The sequence below is a fragment of the Homo sapiens genome, chromosome 2 (assembly GCF_000001405.40).
Source record: "Homo sapiens chromosome 2, GRCh38.p14 Primary Assembly".
Classification (NCBI taxonomy): Eukaryota; Metazoa; Chordata; class Mammalia; order Primates; family Hominidae; genus Homo; species Homo sapiens.
Genome location: NC_000002.12, coordinates 120,498,082 through 120,521,630, shown reverse-complemented (window position 1 = coordinate 120,521,630; position 23,549 = coordinate 120,498,082). Strand labels below are relative to the sequence as shown.

Here is a 23,549-nt window from a genome sequence, read left to right as displayed (position 1 = left end):
TGGGTTCATTCCCGGTGCGTATGGAGAAAAGAACATGGTGGTTCTAAAGGACCATGGATTTGAACCACAGTGTTTTCTGTGTTAAGAAGTGAAACGCATGTGCTGAGGACTGTGGGGGTACCTGTGGGAACAGAAGGGATTGCCTTCGAATTTGAGACTGTCAGGGAACACTCCAGGTGCTTCAGTGCTGCGGTGCCACTGACTGGCTGTAGGGGGAGCTGTGGAGTCAGGGCCTTGTCTTCAATGCCGTTTAATCCAGTTTGATAGACTATACACTTTCCACGTTGCTCTGGGTGACAGCCGCAGCTCCAGGGTCGGGGATGAGATTGAAGAAACTGATGGGGTAGGTGGTGCCTGAATATGCCATTCTCCTGAGCCTTCTCTTTGAGCCCATGGAAAATGGCCTGGCCTTGGAGGGCCTTGGAGAGCACTGGTAGCTGCCTTGCTGGCATCACCCAGAGTGGCAGGCAGGGTGCAAACTCTGCCACTAGGCTTCCTGGAGGCAATCCCGGCTCCACCACTTACTACCTGAGTGGCCTTAGGAAAACTTTCTTAACTTCTCTGTGACTCAGTTTATCTATCTGTAAAATGGGGATAAAATTGCATATGAGATATTTGGGCTGTTCACAAATATTCTGCTTCTCCTCTGGGCACATGGCAAGATCACACTTCTCTGCCTTTTTTTTTTTTTAAAGAAACATAATCTTTTAAGCATACTTGGAACAGTCACAAAATTAATTTCATTTCCTAATCTACTTTGAACTTACCCATGGTGTTGTGACTTTTTTGTAGCCAATGAAATATAAGTGATTTGTTACATCTTCACCACTCCCCCTTCCACCCACCACCTCCATGGCAACCATGAAACGTTGGTGAAAAGCACAAGCCCCCTGTCAGCCTGCACCACTCACGCAGCACACGCGAGAAACAAATCTCTGTTGTCTTAAACCACTGAGATTTTTTGTCACCACAGCACAACCCAGCCCGTACTGACCAATACCATTTATGACTGTTCCAGATTGAATTGTGTCCCCTTCTAATTCATAGGTTGAAGGCTTCACATCCAATGTGATGGTGTTTGGAGATGGGGTCTTTGGGAGATGATTGGGTTTAGATGAGGTTATTAGGGTAAGGCCCTGATGATGGAATTACAACTTTTTAAATTTTAAATTTTTTTTTTTTAGAGATAGGGTCTCACTTCATCACCCAGGTTAGAGTTCAGTGGCACAATCATAGTTCACTGCAGCCTCATACTCCTGGGCTCAAGCGATCCCTCTCACCTTAGCCTCCTGAGTGGCTGGCACTGCAGGTGCACGCCACCACACCTGGCTTGGAATGAGAAGAAGAGACACCAGAGAGCTTGCTCTGTCCTCCCTTTCTGAGCACACCAAGGAGAGGCCATGTGAGCCTAGAGATGGTGGCCTCACCAGAAGCCCACCATGCTAGTGCCCGGATCCCGGACTGCCAGCCTCCAGAGCCGTGAGAAAGTAAACCTCTGCTGTCAAAGCCCCCAGCCTGTGGTATCTGGTTATGGCAGCCCAAGCTGACGCTCTCCCACCTCTGTCATAACGGCGTTGTGAGGACTTCATGGGTTCTGTACGAAGTGCTTTGTGCAGCGTCCTGTATGTAGGAAGCAGTAGAGTATAGGCATCCACTATTGTTACCCCTTGCTGTGGTAAATGGAATGGTCCTGGGTAAAACCAGAGTGAAGATGAGGTGCGTGTTTACTTCTTTGGGGCATTTCCCACCCCTGTTTTCTGGAAGCGTCATTCGTTCCCACATGCATACCAGCACCATTCAGGCTTCTAGCCAACACGTGCCCAGGACTCACTTTATTCCAGGCCTCAGTACTCCATGCACTCATCTGGAAGACCTTACCTGAGCCCCAGGGGTTCACCAGGCCTAGCCTGTGTTCCCCAGGGGCTCACAGTGGAGGGGGACCCAGACAGTGACAGCTCCGATGAAGAGGATGACTCTTTTGGGGCGGGGAGAGCCCTGTGGAGGGGGCCTAACTCAGCAGGTTCAGGGCACTCCCTGCAGGAGGTGCACTTGATCTGAGCCATGAGGACAGGAGGGCACACCTGGTCAAAGGCGGTCAGAAAGGCTGCTCCAGGCACAGGGAAAGGAGGGGGCACAGGAGGGAGCCTCAATCCTCAGGGAGCCCTGAGAACCCCCAGCAGGGTCCTGACAGGCGGCAGGCCCTCTTCTGACCCCAGTGCAGGGTCAGTGGCTCTGACCACTCCAGCTCCCACTGGGGAGAATGAAGGAGGAGAGGGAAGGAGGGTTTGTGGGCAGAGCTCCTGCTTGCTGATGTGGCCTCGTTTGCTCTCCCTGAAGACCTACAAGGTAGGTATTACTGTGTCCACTTAGTAGATAGGGGCACTAAGCTCAGAACAGCCACGAGACCACAGTCACATGGGAAGTACAGTGCCTGGATGCTTCTGAACTCAGTAGATACCGTCAACTGGCTGAGGATAGGAGAGCTGGGCTTTCAGAAGGCTCTTGAATGGCCAGGAACAAGGCAAGGAGAGCCATCGCTGGGTTTGCGTGGGCTTGGCCTTGGGAAGAAGCACTGCCAAGATGGAAGGGACTTGGAGAGAAGATGCTTGGGCCTGAAGGCAGATGACCATGCTGGGGCTCACACCCACTTCTGTGTGCAGGGTGAAAGGCTGCCCAAGGGGCCGCTCTGCCTCAGGGATGTTATTGGCCTCGGGGCCATCCCCAGGTGCAGCAGAAAGATTGAAGCAGATCTGAGTACACCCCAAATCCCCACCAAGCTCTGCTGCTGAACAGTTCTGACCTTGGGCAAGAGCCTTAGCTTCTGCAAGACTCAGTTTCCCCATCTGTAAATTAATGGTGGCTTTCCTCTCATAGGGTTGTTGGAGTTTTAAAGAAGACTGTGGATAGAAACTGTCCAGCTCAGTGTCTATGCCTCCAGCAGCTTCTCAGGAACTTCTCCTGCCACTATTCACCATTTCATGACCTTCTTCTGCAGACCTCTCTTCCCCCTCACAGACAGGCTGCAGCCTGGAGCCAGGACACACTAGCAACCTGAGGGCATCCACGCGAGGCTCTGGGCTGCAGGTGTGGAGACCCAGGGACCACTCAGCATTTTCAACTCGTCATATGTCATTTGGGAGGGTCGCCGCCCCTCTCATGGCCTCATTTTATTGCCAATAAAACACTAAAGAAGAGGGTTGAACTGGTCGATTCCTGAGACCTCTTCTGGCTATAAGAGACATCAATACTGGGCGATAAAGTGTAAGGAAACACAGAACTGGATGGGGTCCTTTGAAAAATCCGAGTGGACCTCACACAGGTGTGTGTGCAAACACATGCATATCCATGTGTTCTCATGTGCACACATGTGTAGTGTCATGAGTACATGCGTGTGTGCATGGGTGTGTGTTCGCATGTGTGTGTGTGTGAGTGGGCATGTGTGTATCTGTCTCCCAAGGACCCATCTGTTTTGAACTAAACAGAGAAAGCATTCTCCCACCCAGGATGTGAGCATAGCCCACACTTCCTGATTGCTGCTCTCCTGAGCAACCCAATTAAGTTGACCCAGTCACCCTGTTATATGGGTTTGGGGTTGAGGGAATGCCAGCCTCTCTCCCTTGATTTGCAGTTTAGCTGACCTCAGCACTCACTGGCCCCTCCCAGCTAATGTTACTCGTTGTCCTCTTGTGAGCATCAGCCTTAGACCACCTGTGTGCACAGTAAAGATGAGTGTCTATTAACAGGGACAATGATGAGCAATTCATGTATTGGGTCATGTTTATACTTCCATTGTCAACGGTGGCCATTATTTATTTGAAATGAGGCCTTTCTCATGTACTGGCCATTGCTCCTATGAGTAACAGCATGTTGAAGACTTAGTAATTTTCACATGGTGGGGACTCAGAGCAGAGAGGGCTGTGGCTCCCTGTGGCAGTCAAAAGAAGGGTCGTCCAGTGCAGGTGTGCCGCCTCCATATCGCAAAGAGGGAAGTGCAGCCACAGGATAGGGAGGGGAGGGTTGAAGAGCACAGGGTGGCCTCAAATGAGCTCCAGCTTCTTGGCCCAGACAAATGACCTCCCAGGATACCAGGGGAATTTGTGGATGTGAACTCAGCCCCTCCATCAAAAACCTTGGAGGAATCCTGGAGAGCTGGAGCCTGGATACACAACCAAATTGATCATCCCCCAGACAGGAAGCAAGCACATTTTAAGTAACTACAGCTGGTGGGAGGCAGCATGGTACTGGGGAAAGAGAAAAGGGTTTGGAACTAGATGGAGCTGGGAGAGAATCTTTCTGGATTGTGTGACCTTGTATGAGTCCCTGAGCCTGCCTTCCCCCATCTGTGAAATGGGATAATAAATACTGCATGTGAGACTCACATGAGATGTGGCTTTCCAAGAGAGCTGGAAAAAGAAACCACTACTTTTCTTCTCCTTCCCCCATAAGCCCACTACATTCTCTTCTAAAATTTGGAGAAGGATTTGGAAAGAATTTGGAAGGAATGTGTTTCTTCTGAGAATAGACCGCAACAAACTCCCCTTTTCCTCTCGCGGTGAACATATGAGCTTCAGAGGTCAGGGGCAGCAGCCAACAGAAAGTATATCTATTTTAAGCAAGCATTTGCAAGAATTTCTCATGTTAGAGGTACTGGATCCGTGATACCATCCACCTGGATCATTCCTAGGCTCCACTGGGCTTGTGGAGGAAGTGGGGAAATGCTGAGGGGACATTAGAACAGGTCATTGGACTTTGAACTGGTTAAATGATTGTATTCAAACGGGAATGACCACTGGCCCCAAGTCAGCCCGGCTGAGGTGTCCAGCAGAGTGGCTGCAGGCTTGGTTCCTGTGATCTACTCCTGCCCCAGAGTATTATCATCAATGCATCCAATAAGGACTTAGAGAATCCACTTATCAATTGTTCAGATGACAGAAAGAACTACTCAGCAGAAGACAAAAATTATCAGGCTTTTGATAAACTTACTTTCACGTAATCCTCACAACCACTCCATGAGATTAGGGCAGTTTTATATTTTTGTTTTACATTTGAGGGGCTTAGACAGGCTAAGTGACCTGCCGAAGGCCACGTGGCTAGGAGGGAGTGGAGGCAGAATTTGAATGGAAATCCAGCAGAGCTTTTCCTGGAATTGTGTGTGAAACAGCAGCTCCTGTTGCTGCATCTGAGACTCTCAAGAGCCTGGAGAAGGCCAGGAAGGAATCATTTTCAGGCTTTTGTTCAATCCTTTATTCAACTGATATCCAATGGACACCTAATATGTGCCTTGCACATTCTAGGTCCTGTTTATACAGTGGGAATAGGGGTACCCAAGGGGGATCTTGCCCTTCCAGGCCAGGGAAAGTAAGGTTCTGGGGGAAGCAAACAATTACAAAATACATAAGAAAATGAATTAGGCAATTTTGGAAAATGCTAATATAGCTAAGACATGTATTGAGTGTCAGGCATTGTTCTAAACTCTTTGCATATATTCCCTAGTCTAATCCTTACAACAATCCTATTACGCAAGTGCTGTCATTATTCTAACTTTGTAGATAAGGAAAACTGAGGCACAGAGACTTTGAGTGTCAAAGTCACATCATTCCTAATACAAGGTGATCATTTACATTTTGAGCCTCGGCAGTGCAGGGCCCAACAACAGGGTTGGGAGGACACTGACCAGAGGGAGATTCAGGGCAGATCAGGAGAGTCAGGGAGGAGGGAGAGTCCAGGAAGAGGGAGAGTCAGAGAGGAGGGAGAGTCCAGGAGAAAGGAGAGTCAGGGAGGAGAGAGTCAGGGAGAGCCAGGGAGGAGGGAGAGTCCAGGAGGAGGGAGAGTCAGAGAGGAAGAAGAGTCAGAGAGGAGGGAGAGTCAGAGAGGAAGGAGAGTCAGAGGGGAGGGAGAGTCAGAAAAGAGGGAGAGTCCAGGAGAAGGGAGAGTCAGGGAGGAGAGAGAGTCAGGGAGAGTCAGGGAGGAGGGAGAGTCCAGGAGGAGGGAGAGTCAGGGAGGAGGGAGAGTCCAGGTGGAGGGAGAATCAGGGAGGAGGGAGAATCAGGCAGGAGGGAGAGTCAGGGAGGAGAGAGAGTCAGGGAGGAGGGAGAGTCCAGGAGAAAGGAGAGTCAGGGAGGAGAGAGTCAGGGAGAGCCAGGGAGGAGGGAGAGTCCAGGAGGAGGGAGAGTCAGAGAGGAAGGAGAGTCAGAGAGGAGGGAGAGTCAGAGAGGAAGGAGAGTCAGAGGGGAGGGAGAGTCAGAAAGGAGGGAGAGTCCAGGAGAAGGGAGAGTCAGGGAGGAGAGAGAGTCAGGGAGAGTCAGGGAGGAAGGAGAGTCCAGGAGGAGGGAGAGTCCAGGTGGAGGGAGAATCAGGGAGGAGGGAGAGTCAGGGAGGAGGGAGAGTCAGGGAGGAGGGAGAGTGGAGATGAGGAAAAGCCAAGGAGAAGAGGGAGCAGGTGGGGAGAACTGAGAAGGAGGGTGAGCTGGAGAGGAGGAGAAGGTGGGGCAGAAGGGGAATTGGAGAGGAGGAAGGAAATTTGGAAAGCGGGGACCTGGGAAGAAGGTGGTGCCAGGGAGGACTATGAGCTAAGGAGGAATGAACTGGGGAGGAGGGTGAGTGAGGGAAAAGGGAGAGTGAAAGAAGAGGGGGAATGGGGGAGGAGGGAGAGCTGGGGAGAAGGATCTGCAGAGGAGGGGTGCTAGGGACGAGGGCAGCCAGGGAGGGGGCAGCTGGCTCAGCAGAAGCCTTCAAGGAAAAGGCCTCAGGAATAGAGGCAACTGCACACTGAGGGGAACAGACAGCGATAGGCAGCAGGCCGGCCATGCCACGCTCTGCTTTTCTGTGCATTTACTTGTTCCACTTGTCCCCTGCTAGATGAGGGCTCCTCAAGTGCAGGACTTTGTTGACCCTGGAGAAGGAGGGATGCTTGAAGCAGGTGATGGCCCAGGCACTAGGCTCACGACTGCTCCTCCCCTTCCCGCATGGGGGCCACTCCATCCTGAGCAGCCTAGAGAAGAGCGCTGGGTTCCAGAGGACTTGGTGTTAGGAGCACGGGGGCTCAGCTGAGCTTGTTTGAGGAATCACGGCTGCCTGGGAAAATACTCCAGAGGGCAGAGCTGGGACTAGGATACTTCAAGCCATTACAGGAAGAATCTTCTAACAATTGTGCACATTGAAGGGGTTTGCAAAGCAGGGAGCACTCTGTCATAGGCAGTGTTCAGGGAGAGAATGAGTGATCACAGTGAGCCCTTGGCTCTGCATCTAACAAACGCCAAGTACCTACTGTGTGCCAGGCCGTGAGTAGGGTGCAGGGAGCACCAAGAAGAATCAGGCCCGGCCCTGCCTTCAGGATGCCACACTTCTGTGGCAGACAGACCAATTAACAAAAAGAACCATGTAGTATGATCTGGTGATGACAGAGGTCACCACAGCATGAGGGAAAAAATGGGACAAATCCAAGAGGGCTTCCTGGAGGAGATGCTGATGAAGCAAAGATGTCAAACAGTAGGAGCTGGCTAACAGCATGGCTGAAGGGTTCATAACGTCGCAGCTGGAGATGCAGGGTGGCCAGGCAGGAAAAGGGTTAGGGGTGGGGGTACAGGGGTAGAAGTTGAGCAGGAGCTCCCAGGCGCACAGACCTGGGCCATCCCCAAGGCCCCACTGCAGTCAAGTAGGCCGTGGGCCCCCTCAGCCGTGCCTGCGCCAGGGGCGAGCCACTGAGCCAACTGTGAAAACCAGAGCTGCTTCATCATCATTGAAAAACACTTCTCACAAAAAAAAAAAAAAAAAAAAAAAAAAAATCCAGCAGAACAGGACAACCGCTTGTACAGCCAGACAGTTCCATGTCACATTTGTCAAGGAGAGAAAAGGAAGGGCAGTTGTTAGGCTTTTTAAATCTAGCTTCAACGGTTATAAGTTGGTTTTAAATTTGTATCACCTGCTTGTGTGAATTTACATTTCTCATTCAAGGGCATGATCAAGAGTTTGAAGGCCTTGCCATTAAAAACTCTTGATCAGTTTCCTGGTTTTGGAAATGCACTGTGGTGATGTAAGCTATCACCACGGGTGGAGGCTAGGTAATGGGTGGATAAGACCTCTCTGTACTGTTTGTGCCACTTTTTGTGAATCCGTAATTATTTCAAAATTTAAAAAAATAAAGAACAAATAAGAAACCTCTTGCTCTGGAATCCCATGAGGCCACCTTAAGCATTAAGCCTTATACAAAAGCAAGTTTTGTTCATGGAAGAAGCTGCTTCTCATTTAATAGTTTTTTAAAAATTGTTTTGGAAGCTTATATAAATGTGTTATATGTTATTCTCCCTTTTACATTTTACTTTCATTTTCTTAGCATCACTTTATAAAGTAGAGAAAATATAATTTTCCCCTGTAGCACCCTTAATGTTTCCTCTTGACTCCAAAGCACTGAATAAGTCACTAATTTTTTTTTTTTTTGAGACGGAGTCTCACTCTGTCACCCAGGCTGGAGTGCAGTGGCACGATAGGCTCACTGCAACCTCCGCCTCCTGGGTTCAAGTGATTCTCCTGCCTCAGCATTCCGAGTAGCTGGGATTACAGGTGCGTACCACCACACCTGGCTTGTGTGTGTGTGTGTGTGTGTGTGTGTGTGTGTGTGTGTGTGTGTGTGTGTGTGTTTTAATGGAGATGGAGTTTCGTCATATTGGCCAAGTTGGTCTGGAACTCCTGACCTCAAGTGATCCGCCCCTCCTTGGCCTCCCAAAGTGCTGAGATTACAGGGATGAGCCACTGTGCTTGGCCAAGTCACTAATTTTCTATGTGTGCTCCAACTTGGCAAAGGTTGAGAGCTGCTGAACAGAGGTGACTGGGGGCCTTTGAAGGGGTAGGTGTGGAAGTGAAGGGTGGGTGGCACACGGGGAAGCTAGGGTCAGAGTAGAGCTAGGGGCTTGCCAGGAGGAGAGGTTTGCAGGAGGGAAGCTCGGGCAGGTGGGGTGCAGACTCAAGGAGCTCCGCACACCCTTCTGACCAGCAGAGGGAGGAAGCTGAGGGGTCTGGGGCCTGAGACAGAACCCAGTTCATGCCCACGCAGAGACCAGCACCCTTCCTCCTCCCTCTGACACCCACAGTGACTGGCCGGGTCACCGGCAGGTGCATCAAGCAGTGCCACCCAGAGGGGACTCTAGGCAGAGACCCTGCATTGCTGCCTGCTCCTCCTGACGACCCTCATTTCCACATGGCTCGAGCAGGCTGGTCCCTGGCTGGGTGGGAAGCTCAGGACACCCCACCCCCAGGCCCTGGCAGGGGCTCCTGCCAGGCTGGCCTGCGTGTTTAGTGGACTGCGAGAACATGTCTATCTGACGAGTCCCCACGCTTCACCCAAGCTGGGGTCTGAATGGAAACATTATCACAATTTAATTACCTTTCACAAACGCAGCCTGAGAAACCCAACTCCTTGGCCAGAATGCCAACTTCAAACGGAGCCAGGGGTGAGCGGAAGCTGTGCTCCCCAGGGGAGAGGGGACAGCCTGGGGAGCTGCACACCCTTTAATGAAGTTTCAAAGTGACCCACAGGCCCCCAGCCCACATGGGGACCGAGCGGGTCCTCCCCAGCCCTGGACAGCGAGCTCCAGAGCCGGGCATAGGGGTTTTGTTTGCAACGTCCTGAGGGTTTTTTCTCTTCCCTTTCTTTCTTTCTTTTTTTTTTTTTTAATAAAATGGGTGATAAAGGGTCCTGCCAGGAACCATTGTCTTCCAAAGTCTAAAGTGTTTGAAATTAATTTATCCGCTTAGGATGGTGTATAAATTTCTCATTACGAGTGTCAGTGATGAACACGAAACCATTCCAAGAAATGTCTCGGGCCCTTGCCAAGCCCCGGGCCCTGGGTCCCTCGCGGAGCCGGTGCCGCGACAAAGGGTTTCACACAGTCAGGAGCGTTAACTATGCATGCTTTCGCGTTGCCCGGGCTCAGCCAAATGCCCTGTGAGAACGACACGTCCACACCCGCTTTTATTATTCCACACAGATGCCGGCTTGTTGTGTATTTCCAGCTTTGTGGAGCATAATGTGGGGTGCTGGGGGGTTTTGTTGTTGTGGTTGGGCATGTGCTTTTTTACTTTACCCCTCCCTTGCCCTCTTTCAGTGACTCGCTCCTGTCCACCCCCTAAACGGCTGGGGCAAGGGGAAATGGGGGGCAGGCCGGGAGCATTCTTGGAAGGGCCCGGGATAGGGTGGGGGAGGGGATTAAATGAATTGAGTCTCTTTGAGGTGTGTGTGTTGGGGGGGTGGGGGGGGGGTCTTGAAACCAAAGAGAGAAAAGGGAAGAGGAGGGGGAGGTTAAGCCCTGGGAAAGAAATGGCACCCCCAGCCCTTGCTGGGTCCGGCTGCCAGCTATGCTGGGGCGGGAGGCAGGCAGAGAGAGCCACCTCCCGGCCATGAGGTCTGCCATGCTCCTGGCTGCCCTGGAGCCCCGGCACCTGGACCCGCCCCCCAGGCTGTCCCAAGGAGACTCAACTTTGGAGAAAGGGGTCTCCTAGGCCCTTCTGTCGTGTGTCACTGTCCAATTCCCAAATGCAAATGCAACCCAAGAGTATGAGAGCTGAAGAGGTGGCAGAGCTCGGATTCAAACCTAGGCCCCTGACAGTGCTGTGCGGCCTGGGCAGCCTCCCCTGTTTACTCTCCATATCCCACCAGTAGCACCAGGGTGAGGCTGCAGCCCCTCTGCTCTGGTCTGCCCTGTGTGCTTTTGCCCTGGGCTGCAGGATCAGAAGTCCCGGGCGGTCTGCTTTCACCCTGAGAACAAGGCCCAGAGAGAAACAGGGAGCCCCCAGAAGCTCAGCCAGTGCCCATGGGTCCTGGTTATGGCTCAGCGGAGGTGGCTTTTCCAGGTGTTATTAGGATGAAGACAAAGCTGAGACTTTATAGGGCAATGCAGGAAGCTGGCCTGGAAGCCAGGAGACCCTATTTGAGCCCTGCCTTTTTCACCATCTCCCCATGTGACCCAGGCCCAGTCCTGCCCCCTCTGACACTCTGTGTTGTCTTCTGTCCATGAAGGGCTGGGTGCAGGGGTCACCATGCAGCCCTGGCTCTGGGCTCCGGAATGGAGTATAGAGGCAGACAGTGCTGGCCATGGATGCCAGCAACACGCACTGCAAATTCAGCAGCTCAAGCGGGCTGGGGTCATCCCCCCAGGACCCTGGCCCAGGTGCCGAGGCCCAGCTTGGAGGACCTGTGAGTGATGATGCCTGCAGCACCCCAGCCCCTGAGACGTGGCTGGCCTCTTTCTGGATGTAGAACCCTGTTCCTCAGGGGTCCTGGATGGAGGGTTGGGCATGCTCAGACCTAGGGGCTACCTTGCAGAGCCTCCAGTCTCAGCTGGCATGCTCACACCCAGCCTCTGTGCATGGCCGCCAAGGGCAGGGCCTCTCCGGAGTGGCTGATTGGGATGCCTGGCAAGTCATCGGCCCTGGGCGGTGGGCCAGCCCACAGCCCCCATGGAGGTGGCCTCATTAAAGGCCTCATGGTCCAGTGGGCAGGGCATCAGACTGGACATCTGGAGGCCTGGGGCCCGGTCCAGCTTGCTGCTGCTTTGCTGGGTGACCTTAAGCAGATTACTTGGCCTCTCAGTGCCCCATCTGCCCCCTGCCTCCTCCCTGTCTGGCAAAGCTTCCTGGAGGGAATATTAATGGGATAACTCACAGAAGCCAGATTCTACGGCCCCTCAGTTGTAGCCATTGCAGCCATGCCAGGGGGTGGCAGGGTCACGCAGAAACCCTTCCTCCTGAAACCCTCCAAGCCTCACCCAGCATCGTTTCCAAGGGCTGGCCTGAGAGGCAAAGCTGTGTGGGGGCCCAGAGAGGAGTGCTGCAGCATCTCGGAGCGGGAGGGGCTACTAAGATCCCTCAGGGCAATCCCCCCTTCACAGATGGGGAAACTGAGGGTGCAGCGCACAGCCAGGTGGCGACATTGCTGGGCGGGGAAACTACGCATCCATCTATCTTCTGGCCCTTCTGTTCCTCCCCTGAGCTGTTTATCCAGCCTCCCCTTCCAGTCCTGGTCCCCAGAATGATGCTTTTGGTACTTGGATCTGGTCTCACCAATCCCCGTGGAAGCGCCCTCAATGGCCTCCTGTCTTCAGAGGATCAAGCAGCTCCACCGGCATCCCGATCCTCCTTCCCTGCAGCCTCCCTCTCACCGAGCACAGCTAGGCTCCGGCATCCCCAAGGCATGCACTCCAGCCTCCACACTTACGCAGGATCCCAAGCCCTGCCCATGCCACTCCTGCCATCTGGAGGGCCCTCTGCGGCTTGTCTCCTGGGTGAACTGATCACCCTTCATGACTGCAGCCAAGCCTCCCCTCTGTGTAAGGTCTGCTCTAAGCTGTCTCAGAGGGCACAGCCTGAGTCCCTCTTCTCTGGTCCTGCAGTGTGGTGGCCCATTCCATCAGCACACTGCTCACCCAGGTCATGGGGACCCCACAGGCCAGGGCCTGCCTCTCAGCATCATTGGACACAGTGAGTAGCTTCAGGACATGCTGTGTTGTAGATGCTCAGTGGATGTGTACTGAAGGAAGGCCCAGGAGGTCAAAGCCAGCATCCCCATCCTGTAAGCCCCCTGCACTCTCTTCATCCCTTCCTCTCACCTCTTCAAATGCCCTTGAAAAAAGCAAGTAAAAGCTACGCCCAAGGAAGAGTGACTCACCAGGTTCCTTCTGCTGCTTTGTGGCCTCCACACCCCACCTGCAGGGCCAGCCAAGGCCCGTCCACCCCAAGCTCCTTCGCTCCTTATGCTGTCTGGGTCCCAGGCCAATAATAATAATGATAATAATAAAATACTTCCTGCTTATGATGACCTTACTTTGTGTTAAATGCACTATATATCTATTCCTGAAAACAGCCTTGCAGCTCGGGGTATAGCAGAGGAAATCGAGGCTCAGAGAGATTAAGTGGCTTGCCCGGGGTCACACAGTTGGCAGAGACAGAACTGGGGTCTGAGCCAGGCCCTGCAGGACTCCAAGGCCCATGCTCCCGCCCCCACCAACATCTGCTCTCCTTTGAGCCCTTTGAGGCATGGCATCAGCTGAGTTACTAAAGGCCAATAAAGAATGCCCTGGGTGACCCTTTCCCCTCAGCATTGGCATTTAACCAGAGTCTTCGGAGCTTCCCCCAAAGTGGGCTTGGCTGTGGGATTTTTGACACCAGGATTGTCGAATGTTAACAAGATTTCTGTTTTGGTATCTGTATACACAGCAGACTTGCCAGCGTTAACCTTTCTTCCCAGCCTTCTCCACTATAGCTTGACTTACTTGTCTTTTTCAATTGAGCCTTTTAAGGACTGTGGCTTGGGGACAAGAGCCAGGAATAAAATGTTGATTAAAATCTCCAAGGCCAGCCTGTAATCCCAGCACTTTGGGAGGCCAAGGTGTGTGGATCACCTGAGGTCAGAAGTTCGAGACCAGCCTGGCCAACATGGCAAAACCCCAACTCTACTAAAAATACAAAAATTAGCTGGGCGTGGTGGTGCGTGCCTGTAATCCCAGCTACTCAGGAGGCTGAGGCATGAGAATAGCTTGAACCTGGGAGGTAGAGGCTGCAGTGAGCCGAGATCATGCTGCTGCACTCCAGCCTGGGCAACAGAGCAAGACTCTGTCTCAAAAACAAAACAAACAAACAAAAATCTCCAAGGCCTTAAGAGGTCAGTTTTCCTCCAGTTGATCAATAGAGTCAACACAAACCCAACCAGTTTTAGCAAGGTTTTTAAAAGCTAGAAATTGGCATGGTAGTTCTAAAATTTTTATGAAAACCCAAGGGCATTGGAAGAGCTAAAACAAGTTCAAAAAGGAACAAAATTAAAGGATTCATATTCCCTGACTTCCAGGCTCATTATAAAGAGACAATAATCAAGATAGTGTGAGATTGGCAGATGGATAGACACATAGACTAATGGGAAAGAACAGATAGTTCGGAAATAGTAGGACGCACGTATGGTCAATTGATTTTCCACAAAGATAGAGGCAATTCGATGAAGGTCATTTTTTCAACAAATGGTGTTTGGACAATTGGAGGTCCAAAGAAATAAATCTGGACCGCTATTCAAACCTTGTCCAAAAATTAACTCAAATGGATCATAGACCTAAATATAAAACCTAAACCCACAAAACATCTAGAGGAAAGCATAAGAGAAAATCTTTGTGACCAGGGGTTATGCAAAGATCTCTTACTATGACACATAAGCACACCCATAAAAGAAAAACATGATAAATTGGATTTCACCAAAATGAAGAACCTTTGCTTTTTGGAAAGCCCTGTGACACCCATGGCAGCAATGGGAACCTGACACAATGACAGGATGAAGCTGGTCGAGAGAAGCAGTGAAGGCTGGAACCATGGCAGGCAGTACACAGTGGGCTGGGACTGCCTTTCCAGGCAAGGCACAAGCGAAGCCACCTTCAGTAATGTCACTCAATCTGTCTGAGCCTCAGCTCTGTTATCTGTAAAACGGGGGAAGAAGCCGCATCTGAAAAAGTTGTCTTAAGGAATAAATGACATATGAAAATATGATTCTCAATAGCTGCACGTTCCCTTCTTTTTTCCTCCCTTGAAAAAGGTTGCAGAGGAGGAGGAACACATAAAAGCACTAAAGAAGTTTCTAGGGAGTAAATTACCCAAACAGCAAACCAAAAACCTGAGCCTTTCATCTAGCTCTCAGCTGCTGAACGTCCTCCCAGGAGAAGCCGTTTCTGCCTGAAGGTCCAAACTCTGACGGCTAAAGGAGACACGGGTGATCCAGCACCTCTCTGGGCTTGTTGCTGCTTCTAGAAGCCAAGATTGAGAGAGGTGGAAAGAAGTAGTAGAAGGAGGAACAGAGGCGCAAGGAGTTGTGGAAGAAAATAGGAAGAAGGGGGCAGCAACCAGACCCACCTACGGCAGGAGGACACGGGGATGATCATTAGAGAGTGGGAGATGGCTGAGAGAAACTCCAGCACAGCAGCTTGAAGGCGAGACGTTTAGTCTCAAGCATCAATACCAACTCGTTAGTTGTGGCTGCCTCCAGTGAAGTGTCAAGGGTCATGACATTGAACCAGACGCAGCAGGAAAGAGCAATGCCTGCCAAGGGTGGGGAATGGAGCGGTGGCGCATGTCCCATACATATGTGGGACCACCATAGGGACCCTGCCACAGTAAGGGGTTTATTCATCTCTGTTGCAAGCAGCCCTCCTGCCTCTCTGTTATGATGTCTTTAAGACAGTTTAAGTATTGATGTGAAGATGATGTGTGGGTGAATAGATATAGTTCAGTTATCTTTAAGTCAGGAAATTGTGTATTTAGAAAGTATTTGGTGCAAAAAAGATGCAAGAAAAACTGCTGGCCTTCTAGGGTACATCATCCATTATATGTAAATGTCAATCACAGGGAGCCTGCTGCCCTGGGAGCCTGCGGGAAGGCTGAGGGGTGGTGGTGCAGCTCAAGGACTGAAGCAGTCAGGGGTATCAGGGAAGGGCCCTAGGCATAGGCGTCTAGCAGGCTTTGACAGAGGCCAGGGGCACGGATCAATAAAGCTGGGGTGGGGACTGGGGGCAATATGGCTGGATACCTCATAGTTACACAGTATATTTAAAGCGTGGGGGTCTCTCAAATTGTTCCCTACAACCTAGCAATCATGTACTAAGCTTTTCTGTGTTGCAGGTTTCCAGCCAGACAGTAGGAATAAACAGAGACCTAACCAAGGCTGGGGCTCCCTGTCCTAGAGTAGCTCCCAAAAGTAGGTCCTGTGGACAGGGGCATCCCACCTGGTCAGCCCACCCTGGTACTGCATCCTGGCTGCCGTGGACCTCATTCGTTTAGAGCCTATAAAAGCACCTGGAATCCCAGTGTATCCTCCTCCTGCTAATGCCCCTCATGGCTCCCCATCACTATTTTGCTATTAGAACAAAATCCAAGTGCTCACTATGGCCGGCAAGGCCTGAAGAATCCAGCCCCTGACTCTTTCTCCACTTCTTTTCCCACCTTGAATTTTGGCTCCAATCACACTGGGCTTTTCCCAGTTCCTCCAACATTTCAGTGTCTTTCTCACCCTAGGGACGTCCCCGCCCTCCCTAGTCAGCTGGACACCTGCAGCTCCTCCTTCCTGTCTCAGCTTCATCGCGGCTTCTCCAGGGAGCTGCCTGTGGCCCCTGGGTGAGGTGAGCTCCTCCACCTTAATGCACAGCTTCCCCACAGCACATAGCGCAATTGTCATGAGATATGTCGGTATGTAATTATCAGGTGTCTCATGTCCACCTTCTCTGCCACATCGAAGTCTCCGTGAAAGTGGGGACCTGGCTTGTGTCCTTCATAGCGACAGCTGCAACAGTTGCAGAGCCTGGCAGACAGAAGGTCCAAATATGTGTGGAGTGAATGAATGAATGATAGACCCTCCATCAGGGCTCTATGTGGAGGCTGTCTGGGCCTCCACTCAGGTGAGAACTGGAGAGCGCAGGTGTGGCTTGGGCAAGCCTGACTGTGGAGGATGCAGAGTTGCCGCCAGACACGGAGCCTGGCATATTCGTGTCCGCTTCTTCTTGTGCAGGTGGGCATGGTGGAGCTGCAGCCCCCAGGCTCCATGCAGGTCCAGGTTCCCCTCCTCCTTGTCCTCCTGGTCATTCCTCAGCTTCTTTGTCCCCCTCCTATTCCCACATGGAAGCGCCCTCTGTGCCCTGCAGTCTTGACTGCTGTGTGCAGAGTCTGATTATTCTCATTTCTCTTTGTTGAGTTTTGACCAACCATTTTCTTTTGGTCTTGTTTTGGGATTTTTTATTTTGAAAATAATTTCAACTTTCATTTTAGATTTGGGGGGTTCACGTGCAGGTTTGTTACCTGGGTACATCGTGTGATTTTCTTACAGAGCCTTGCTTCTCTAACATGCTCAGCAAAATGCCCATTGCTGAGCCCTGTGGTGGCCTTGCCGTCTGCTCGCCAGACCGACTGACCCCTTTCCACACAGCCCTTGAGTCAACAGGTAGCTTAAGGTGGGGAACAGAGGAGCAAGTCTTTGTGTGGGACAGTGGAATGAGGGTTCTGGAGTCTGCAGACCGACTACTCCTCAAGGCTGATCACTTAACAGGAACTCATCAGAAAGGAGTTCACAGTCAGCAGCCCACCTCACAGGGTGGCTGCAAGGCCTAAAGGGAATGACTAGCAGGCCCAGCACAGGGCCTGGCGCAGGGCTGGCATTCAATAAACGGTGGGCCCTCCCTTTCCTTTGAATGCCCTGATGAGGTAGGCAGGGCAGGGGATACGTTCGCAGCATACAGGCCCTGCAACACAAGGCCTGAGTCACACATGCACGGCCTCCCAGCCAAGGGAAGTGACAAAGTCTTCTGACTCCCAGCCGTGGGTTCCTTTCAGGACAGCACACCCCTTGTGGATAGGGATAAAGTAGGGGGCAGGAGCTGCCAAAGGTGCTGAGGGTGCAATAGGCGGGCAGGGCCTCTCCAGGGCAGCAGAGTTGCAGGGACACCGTGTCACAGCGTTGCTGGAGAGAAGCACCCTTGTCAAGAGGCCAGGGGCATCTATGTCATCACGAGATTGGGCCCTGGGTGTAAACAGCGCTGCTTTCCTGGACTTTCCCCACCTGGGCATGAGGCCACAGCCACTCGCCCTATCGGGGGTCAGTGCAGATCAGCATCCTCTGCACCCTTGGGCACCACGATGGGCACATCAAGTCATGGCACGTTTGCCTTATTTGCCAATCTGTTGACTGTGCCCCCACTGGCCCTCAAGTCCTATTCATTGAGCGGTAAACATGTTACCTAGCAACCGAGTGTCAATATCAACAAAGGCTCAGATGAAGTTGTTAATCTGGGCAAGACTGACAGCGGGGCCAACGCGCTCCGAGCGCCGCTCCTCCGCTTATTGTCTGACACTTAGACTTGCCCACGAGGATATCGATGCTCAAAAGACCCCACATCTCCCTCCACTATAAAAATTAAATGAAGTGTGCATCGCAGGCAGGGAAAAGGCACCGGCATTGGCCCGCCTGGTGATCTTGCTTGTCTTTTTTCTCTTCTCCCCCAAGTGCCATAGCCCGTGGGGTGGAGTGCTTCCCCTGAATGCGGCAACCGCTGCTAATTTCTGGGAACAATGGGGGACACTCCAGGGCTGGTCCCCAGCACCCGAGGAGACACGCCTGTCATTTGTCCTGTGTGTGGGGCCCCAGGTGGGGTGACAAGGGCGCAGCTGATTCTGGGACCCAGCCTTGTGCCAGGCTGAGGCCGAGGATCTGCACTGTGGAATGAGGGTGACCACGTGGCAGGCCATGGATGGGTGGGGGCAGGGGGTGCAGCCTCAGCAAAGGCCGGGGTGATGTTCCCTGGGGCTCATATTGCAGTGGAGACAGGCAATCAATGAATAAGAAGTGGCCCCATCATGAAATGCTGTGCAGACTTCCAGGTCGAGGGGACAGCCAACACGAAGTCCTCAGGATGGGTGGAATATGTCTGGTATCTTCAGGAGTGTCTGGGTTGGAGAAAGAGATGAGATGAGGAGGATGTGGGGCTAGATGGCACATGGCCTGCAGGGCCACGGCAGGGACTTCAGATGAGTTGGTCCTTAGGAGAGAGGCAAGCCAGCGGAGGGGTTCCATCCAGGAGGAACTTGGTCTGATTTCCACAAGGCTCAGTGCATGGAGATGAGAATGCCTGGCCTGGGTCAGGGCAGAGAGGCCAGGAAGGAGGCTCCAGCAGAGGCCAGGCAAGAGGAGCTGGATGGGGCAGTGACATCACACCCCTAGGAGCTGGTGGAACAGTAGAGTGCACCTAGCAGGAGACCTAGCCTGGGTGGGGCTGGGGACAGGAGGCTTTGGTTGGGGGCCCAGGGCTGAGCACTAGGGCTAGGCCTCAGGTCCTCACCTCTGTGTCCTTGGAAGAGCATGTCCCCACTCAGGGCTTTGGTTCCTCGTCTGCTATTGGGACTACTCTTTGACCTGTCTACGTTGCAGGCATGCAAGGAGGTCAGACAGCACCATCAGCTGGGAAAAGTATGGGTTTGGTGTTGGACCAAGCCGGGTTCTAAGCCTGACTGCGCTGGTTAGCAGCTGTGTGACCTTGGGTGAGCTATGTAACCTCTTTGGGCCTCAACTTTTCTTTCTTTAAAATGGGCTAATGGCACTTACCTCATGGTGCTTGGTCGGTCTTTGATGTTTTGTCCAGCACATGTTTTTTCAGCATCAGCCACTATGCTAGGCATAGAGATGAGTGAGACCCCCCATTTTTCCTCTTGAGGGGAAGAAGACTGGCTCATCAAGAACGATTACAAGCCTGGACAGCATAACAGGATTCCATCTCTATGAAAAATTTAAAAATGAAAAAAATAGCCAGGCATGGTGGTGCATGCCTACAGTCCTAACTCCTTAGGAGGCTGAAGCAGGAGGATCGCTTGAGCACAGATGGAGGCGGCAGTGAGCTACAATCATGACGCTGCACTCCAGCCTAAGAAACAGAGCAAGACGCTGTCTCAAAAAACAAACAAACAAACAAACAAAAGAACAGTTACAGTCTAGGGAGTCATCCCCTAGGAAGCCCCCAGCACCTCTGCTCCTGCCTGGCGGGGAGCAGGTGGTGGCAGCAGAAGTGAGGGGTCTTGGAGGGAGGTGTTAGAGTAGGGCAGAAGGAGTAGGGGTTAGTGTTCAGAGGGCTGGGTTCTGGGAGGTCCCTACCCACCACCCTGATTTGCTGTGTGACCCTGGGCAGGTCCTTCTTCCTCTGAGTCTTGCTGTCCATCCCTGGGAAGCCGCAATATTGAATGGGATACTGTTTACAGTTCCTTCCAGCCCTGGACCCTGCAAAGAGAAGGTCCCTCCCTCCGCTGTGGGCCTGGGGCCAGAGATGGGCAGGCCTCAGCTCAGGCTCACGGGAGGCCTTGTTTCGGCTGCCTTAGTACCGGCCACGTTTCAAGGCGACCTTCCAGAGCATCTCCTACCAATCAGGGGTTCCCTCAGCAAGGCAGATTCCAGGAGTTTCAGGGGGTCCCAGGGGTGACACTGACTGCCTGATGGAGTGTTATGCCTTCACAGTTTCTTAACTCCGTTTTTTGTTTTGTTCTGTTTTGTTTTGTTTTTATTTTTTGAGACAGAGTCTCACTCTATTGCACAGGCTGGAGTGCAGTGGCGCGATCTCGGCTCACTGCAACCTCCACCTCCCAAGTTCAAGCAATTCTCCTGCCTCAGCCTCCCAAGTAGCTGGGACTACAGGCACGTGCCACCACGCCTGGCTAATTTTTTTGTATTTTTAGTAGAGACGGGGTTTCACCATGTTAGCCAGGATGGTCTCGATCTCCTGACCTCATGATCCACCTGTGTCGGCCTCCCAAAGTGCTGGGATTACAGGCTTGAGCCGCCGCACCCGGCCTCTTAACTCCATTTTTAAGAGTCTTGTTAACTCTTCAGATCCATGAAGGAAAAAGTGGGGCCTGAATGCTTTCAGCCCCTCTTGAATTCTTGCTAATCTCCATCTGAAACAAGGGGAGTACAGTGTCTTGAGAAGGCAAGAATGTCTAAGCAGAATCTAACAGCATTACCTTACTTTCATTGTGCGTAGGGGCATGTTACCGTCTACTATGACCAGTGCAATTAATACAACACGGATGAAAAGTTCCTTTTAAAATATATTCATTTAATAAACAAAGTACGCCAATTTTGAGGGGGAAAAATATTGCATTGAACTGTATGAAATTGCCAATATTCAACCACTGCTGACCTACAGAAATGGCAATTTTGTGTAGCTCAGGCTAATGTAAAGTAATGATGGCAACAATAGCAGATAGCTTTATTGAGAGCTTACTATGGTCAAGCATTTGCTTTTCAAGGAATATCTCATTTAATCCCAGAGTAAATGGAGCATTTGGAAAGCACTACAATCAATACATACAAAATCCACCGTAGCTTTGTGATCTTGGGCAAATACCTTCCCCTCTTTGGGCACAGGCTTCTCCAGAACCTGGGGCTTCCCTTGTCTGTTGCTCCACAGCCTACAATCCATCCCTTGGGCATATTTACTAAGCAGCTAATACACAAAGCACTGACTGGCAATGGCCGTGGCTGAGGACCAGGGATGAGGGACAGAACCATGGCAAGACATTGTCCCAGCCTCCAGGGAGAAAAGCAAGAAGGCATGTGCATGTGACGATGGGCCCAGTAGCCAGAAAGTCCCCACTGTCCAGCCCACAGGGGAAAGACATCAGCATGGCACAGTGGCCACAGGCTGCCTGAGAACCCACTGCACTGTGGGCCCCTTAAAGGCCGGAACTGAGTCATATTCAACTGCAAAGTGCTGAAGGGCACAGGTGATGAGAGAAGGGAATGAGGTGGAAATAGGTCACTGGGCATGGGGCCAGGAGGGACAAGCAGAGGAGGGACCTGAGATGAGATGGGACCGCAGAGGCACCAGAGGGTAGGAGCCGGCCTCCGGGCTGCTTTCCTTGCAATTACAGAGCACGTGTAAGGCTGAAAGGCACTATTTCAGCTTACCAATCAGCCCACGGGACTTTTGCCCTAAGCCTGTGTACACGTGGCAAAGATGCTACCAATGCCTGTACAGTAGGGGACAGTCACAACCAGAGGCACTGACGTTGGGCTGTGTGCATCTGGAGAAGGGTCCATCGGTCCCTGCCACCCTCTCTCCAGGGCTCTGGCTCAGACTGGGTGGGGGAACTTGAAGCCAGCACTCAATGTATGCTCCATGCTCAAAGGCATGGAGTGCAGGGGGATGCCGGGGGATAGACTTGGTGTCCGGGATTCCTGAGTGGGCCACAGCAGTGGGCGGGTCTTGCAAGGCGGGGCCAAAAGATAAAAGTGACTTTAGGTTCAAGATGCCATGGAGAGCAGAAAGTGACTTTAGGTTCAAGATGCCAGGGTGACGGTGACAAAGGTGGGAGTTGTGAACTACTGTGAATCTCAAGTCATATAAAAGACTCTCCTCTCTATGCGGATTACACTCCCTCCCAAAGAGAGATGGCAGGGAGGGAAACAGCAAACAAAACCATGGGAAGACAAAAATAGAAAAGTTAAACCTGGGGTTCTCTCAGTAGGATTTAGAGAGAGGCCGAGGTGGGAAGGGGAGAAGCCTGGAGAGGGAATCGGGAAATTGCAGGCCACAGTCAGGTGGCAGCAACTTCAGCTGTGCTGGTCCTGCCAAGGCAAAAGGAAGAAAAGCAGGAGAGACCGCTGTCAGCCTCTGAAGAGAAGCTGCAGCCTCAGTTTCCTCATCCCTACAGCGGGGCTGATACTACCAGCCTTGCCCGTGGCTATGAGGAACTAAATCTCCCATCCTGCCCCTTGCCCTGGGGTACAGCAGGATGCTGCCCGCAGCCGAGGGGGAGTTGAGGGACCGTGGAGGGCAAGGCTTGCAGGAGCTGCCTCCTGGAGGGTGCCCTGAGCTAGGAGCACTGGGGGCCCTGTGATGGCTGTTGTCTCATGGGTTGGGTCCCAGAGAAGCACTCAAAAAGATGAAGAGCAGGCGGCAGGAAGAGAGTGGAGGCTGGACAGAGGGAGAGCAGGATGCCACATGGGGGAGCCCTGAGTTGAGCTGAAGAGAGGAGGTAGGTGGTCGGGGGAACAGGCTGGGGAGGGCAGTGGGCAACCTGTATTAAAATGCATATTTTCCTAATGCAGGGCAGCTGTGGTCACTCCGTCCTTCACCCCTCCAACCCCATGGCTAGCTTGGGCTGGGGGAGCCTGGCAGGGGACACTGTGGGGGCCCAGGGCCCTGCCCCACTTTGCCTTCTCCCCTCACCCACCCCCATGAGCAGAGCCCAGTGGAGAGGGCCGGTGGGGGCACTCCTTCAGTGTGGCCTGCAGAGCAAGCTCAGCTCCCCCTGCAAAGCCTCAGTTGTGTCCCCGCTATCGCCAACCTCAGCCTTGGGGCCGAGGATTCACCCAAACGAGAGTCCAGGTTGTGCCTTGTTTAGTCTGGTCCGGCCCCTATCCCGAGCTCTGCCCCTATCTGCCTGGGTCAGAGGCACCACAGTGGCCCAGTGCTGCCTCTGTGGGCCTGGCCCCTCCCTGGAGGCTGCAGGAGCTGGCTCTGTCCTTCACCCTGGCTGCTCCCATCCACCACCCTCTGTCCTCACCCTTTCCCTCCCCTGCTCACTGCTGAGTTGGGGATCCACTCGCTGTGCCCCAGGGGTAGAAGTGGCTGAATACATGCCCCAGGTGCATGGGCAAGTGCTCGACAGATGTGAGCTGTTAGCTGCATTCTAATCTGTTTCTTGACTTTTCAGTGCTGCAGTTTATTCATCTTGAAAATGGGATTCGTGCAATATCAAGTAGCTCCTGATGCAATGCACTGAGTAGGGCATGGCTTCCCTTCTGTGGTTTTCTTGCCCAAAAATACATACATCATCTGAATTTGAACATGAGGAAGCATAAGACAAATCAACACTGAGAGACATTTCCACAAAACAACTGATCAGGACTCTTCAAAAGTGCAAAGGTCATGAAAGACAAGGACAGAGGCAAGGTTCTCCTTAGAACCCTCCACTCTAAGGACACGGGACCACAAGTGCAAAGTGGTCCTGTATGAGATCCTGGAGCAGAAAAAGGATATTGACAGGAAAAC

The 23,549-nt window shown here is 52.3% G+C and overlaps 4 annotated features.

Annotated features, from left to right (window-relative positions):
* Nucleotides 8,918-9,536: an enhancer, noted in NCBI's record as "H3K4me1 hESC enhancer chr2:121269671-121270289 (GRCh37/hg19 assembly coordinates)". NCBI's record gives its function as "activates a minimal SCP1, AML or CMV promoter by ChIP-STARR-seq in naive H9 embryonic stem cells {active_cell/tissue: H9 hESC(naive)}" and the evidence as "EXISTENCE:reporter gene assay evidence [ECO:0000049][PMID:30033119]".
* Nucleotides 9,537-10,156: an enhancer, noted in NCBI's record as "H3K4me1 hESC enhancer chr2:121269051-121269670 (GRCh37/hg19 assembly coordinates)". NCBI's record gives its function as "activates a minimal SCP1, AML or CMV promoter by ChIP-STARR-seq in naive H9 embryonic stem cells {active_cell/tissue: H9 hESC(naive)}" and the evidence as "EXISTENCE:reporter gene assay evidence [ECO:0000049][PMID:30033119]".
* Nucleotides 17,309-17,810: an enhancer, noted in NCBI's record as "H3K4me1 hESC enhancer chr2:121261397-121261898 (GRCh37/hg19 assembly coordinates)". NCBI's record gives its function as "activates a minimal SCP1, AML or CMV promoter by ChIP-STARR-seq in naive H9 embryonic stem cells {active_cell/tissue: H9 hESC(naive)}" and the evidence as "EXISTENCE:reporter gene assay evidence [ECO:0000049][PMID:30033119]".
* Nucleotides 22,335-22,840: an enhancer, noted in NCBI's record as "H3K4me1 hESC enhancer chr2:121256367-121256872 (GRCh37/hg19 assembly coordinates)". NCBI's record gives its function as "activates a minimal SCP1, AML or CMV promoter by ChIP-STARR-seq in naive H9 embryonic stem cells {active_cell/tissue: H9 hESC(naive)}" and the evidence as "EXISTENCE:reporter gene assay evidence [ECO:0000049][PMID:30033119]".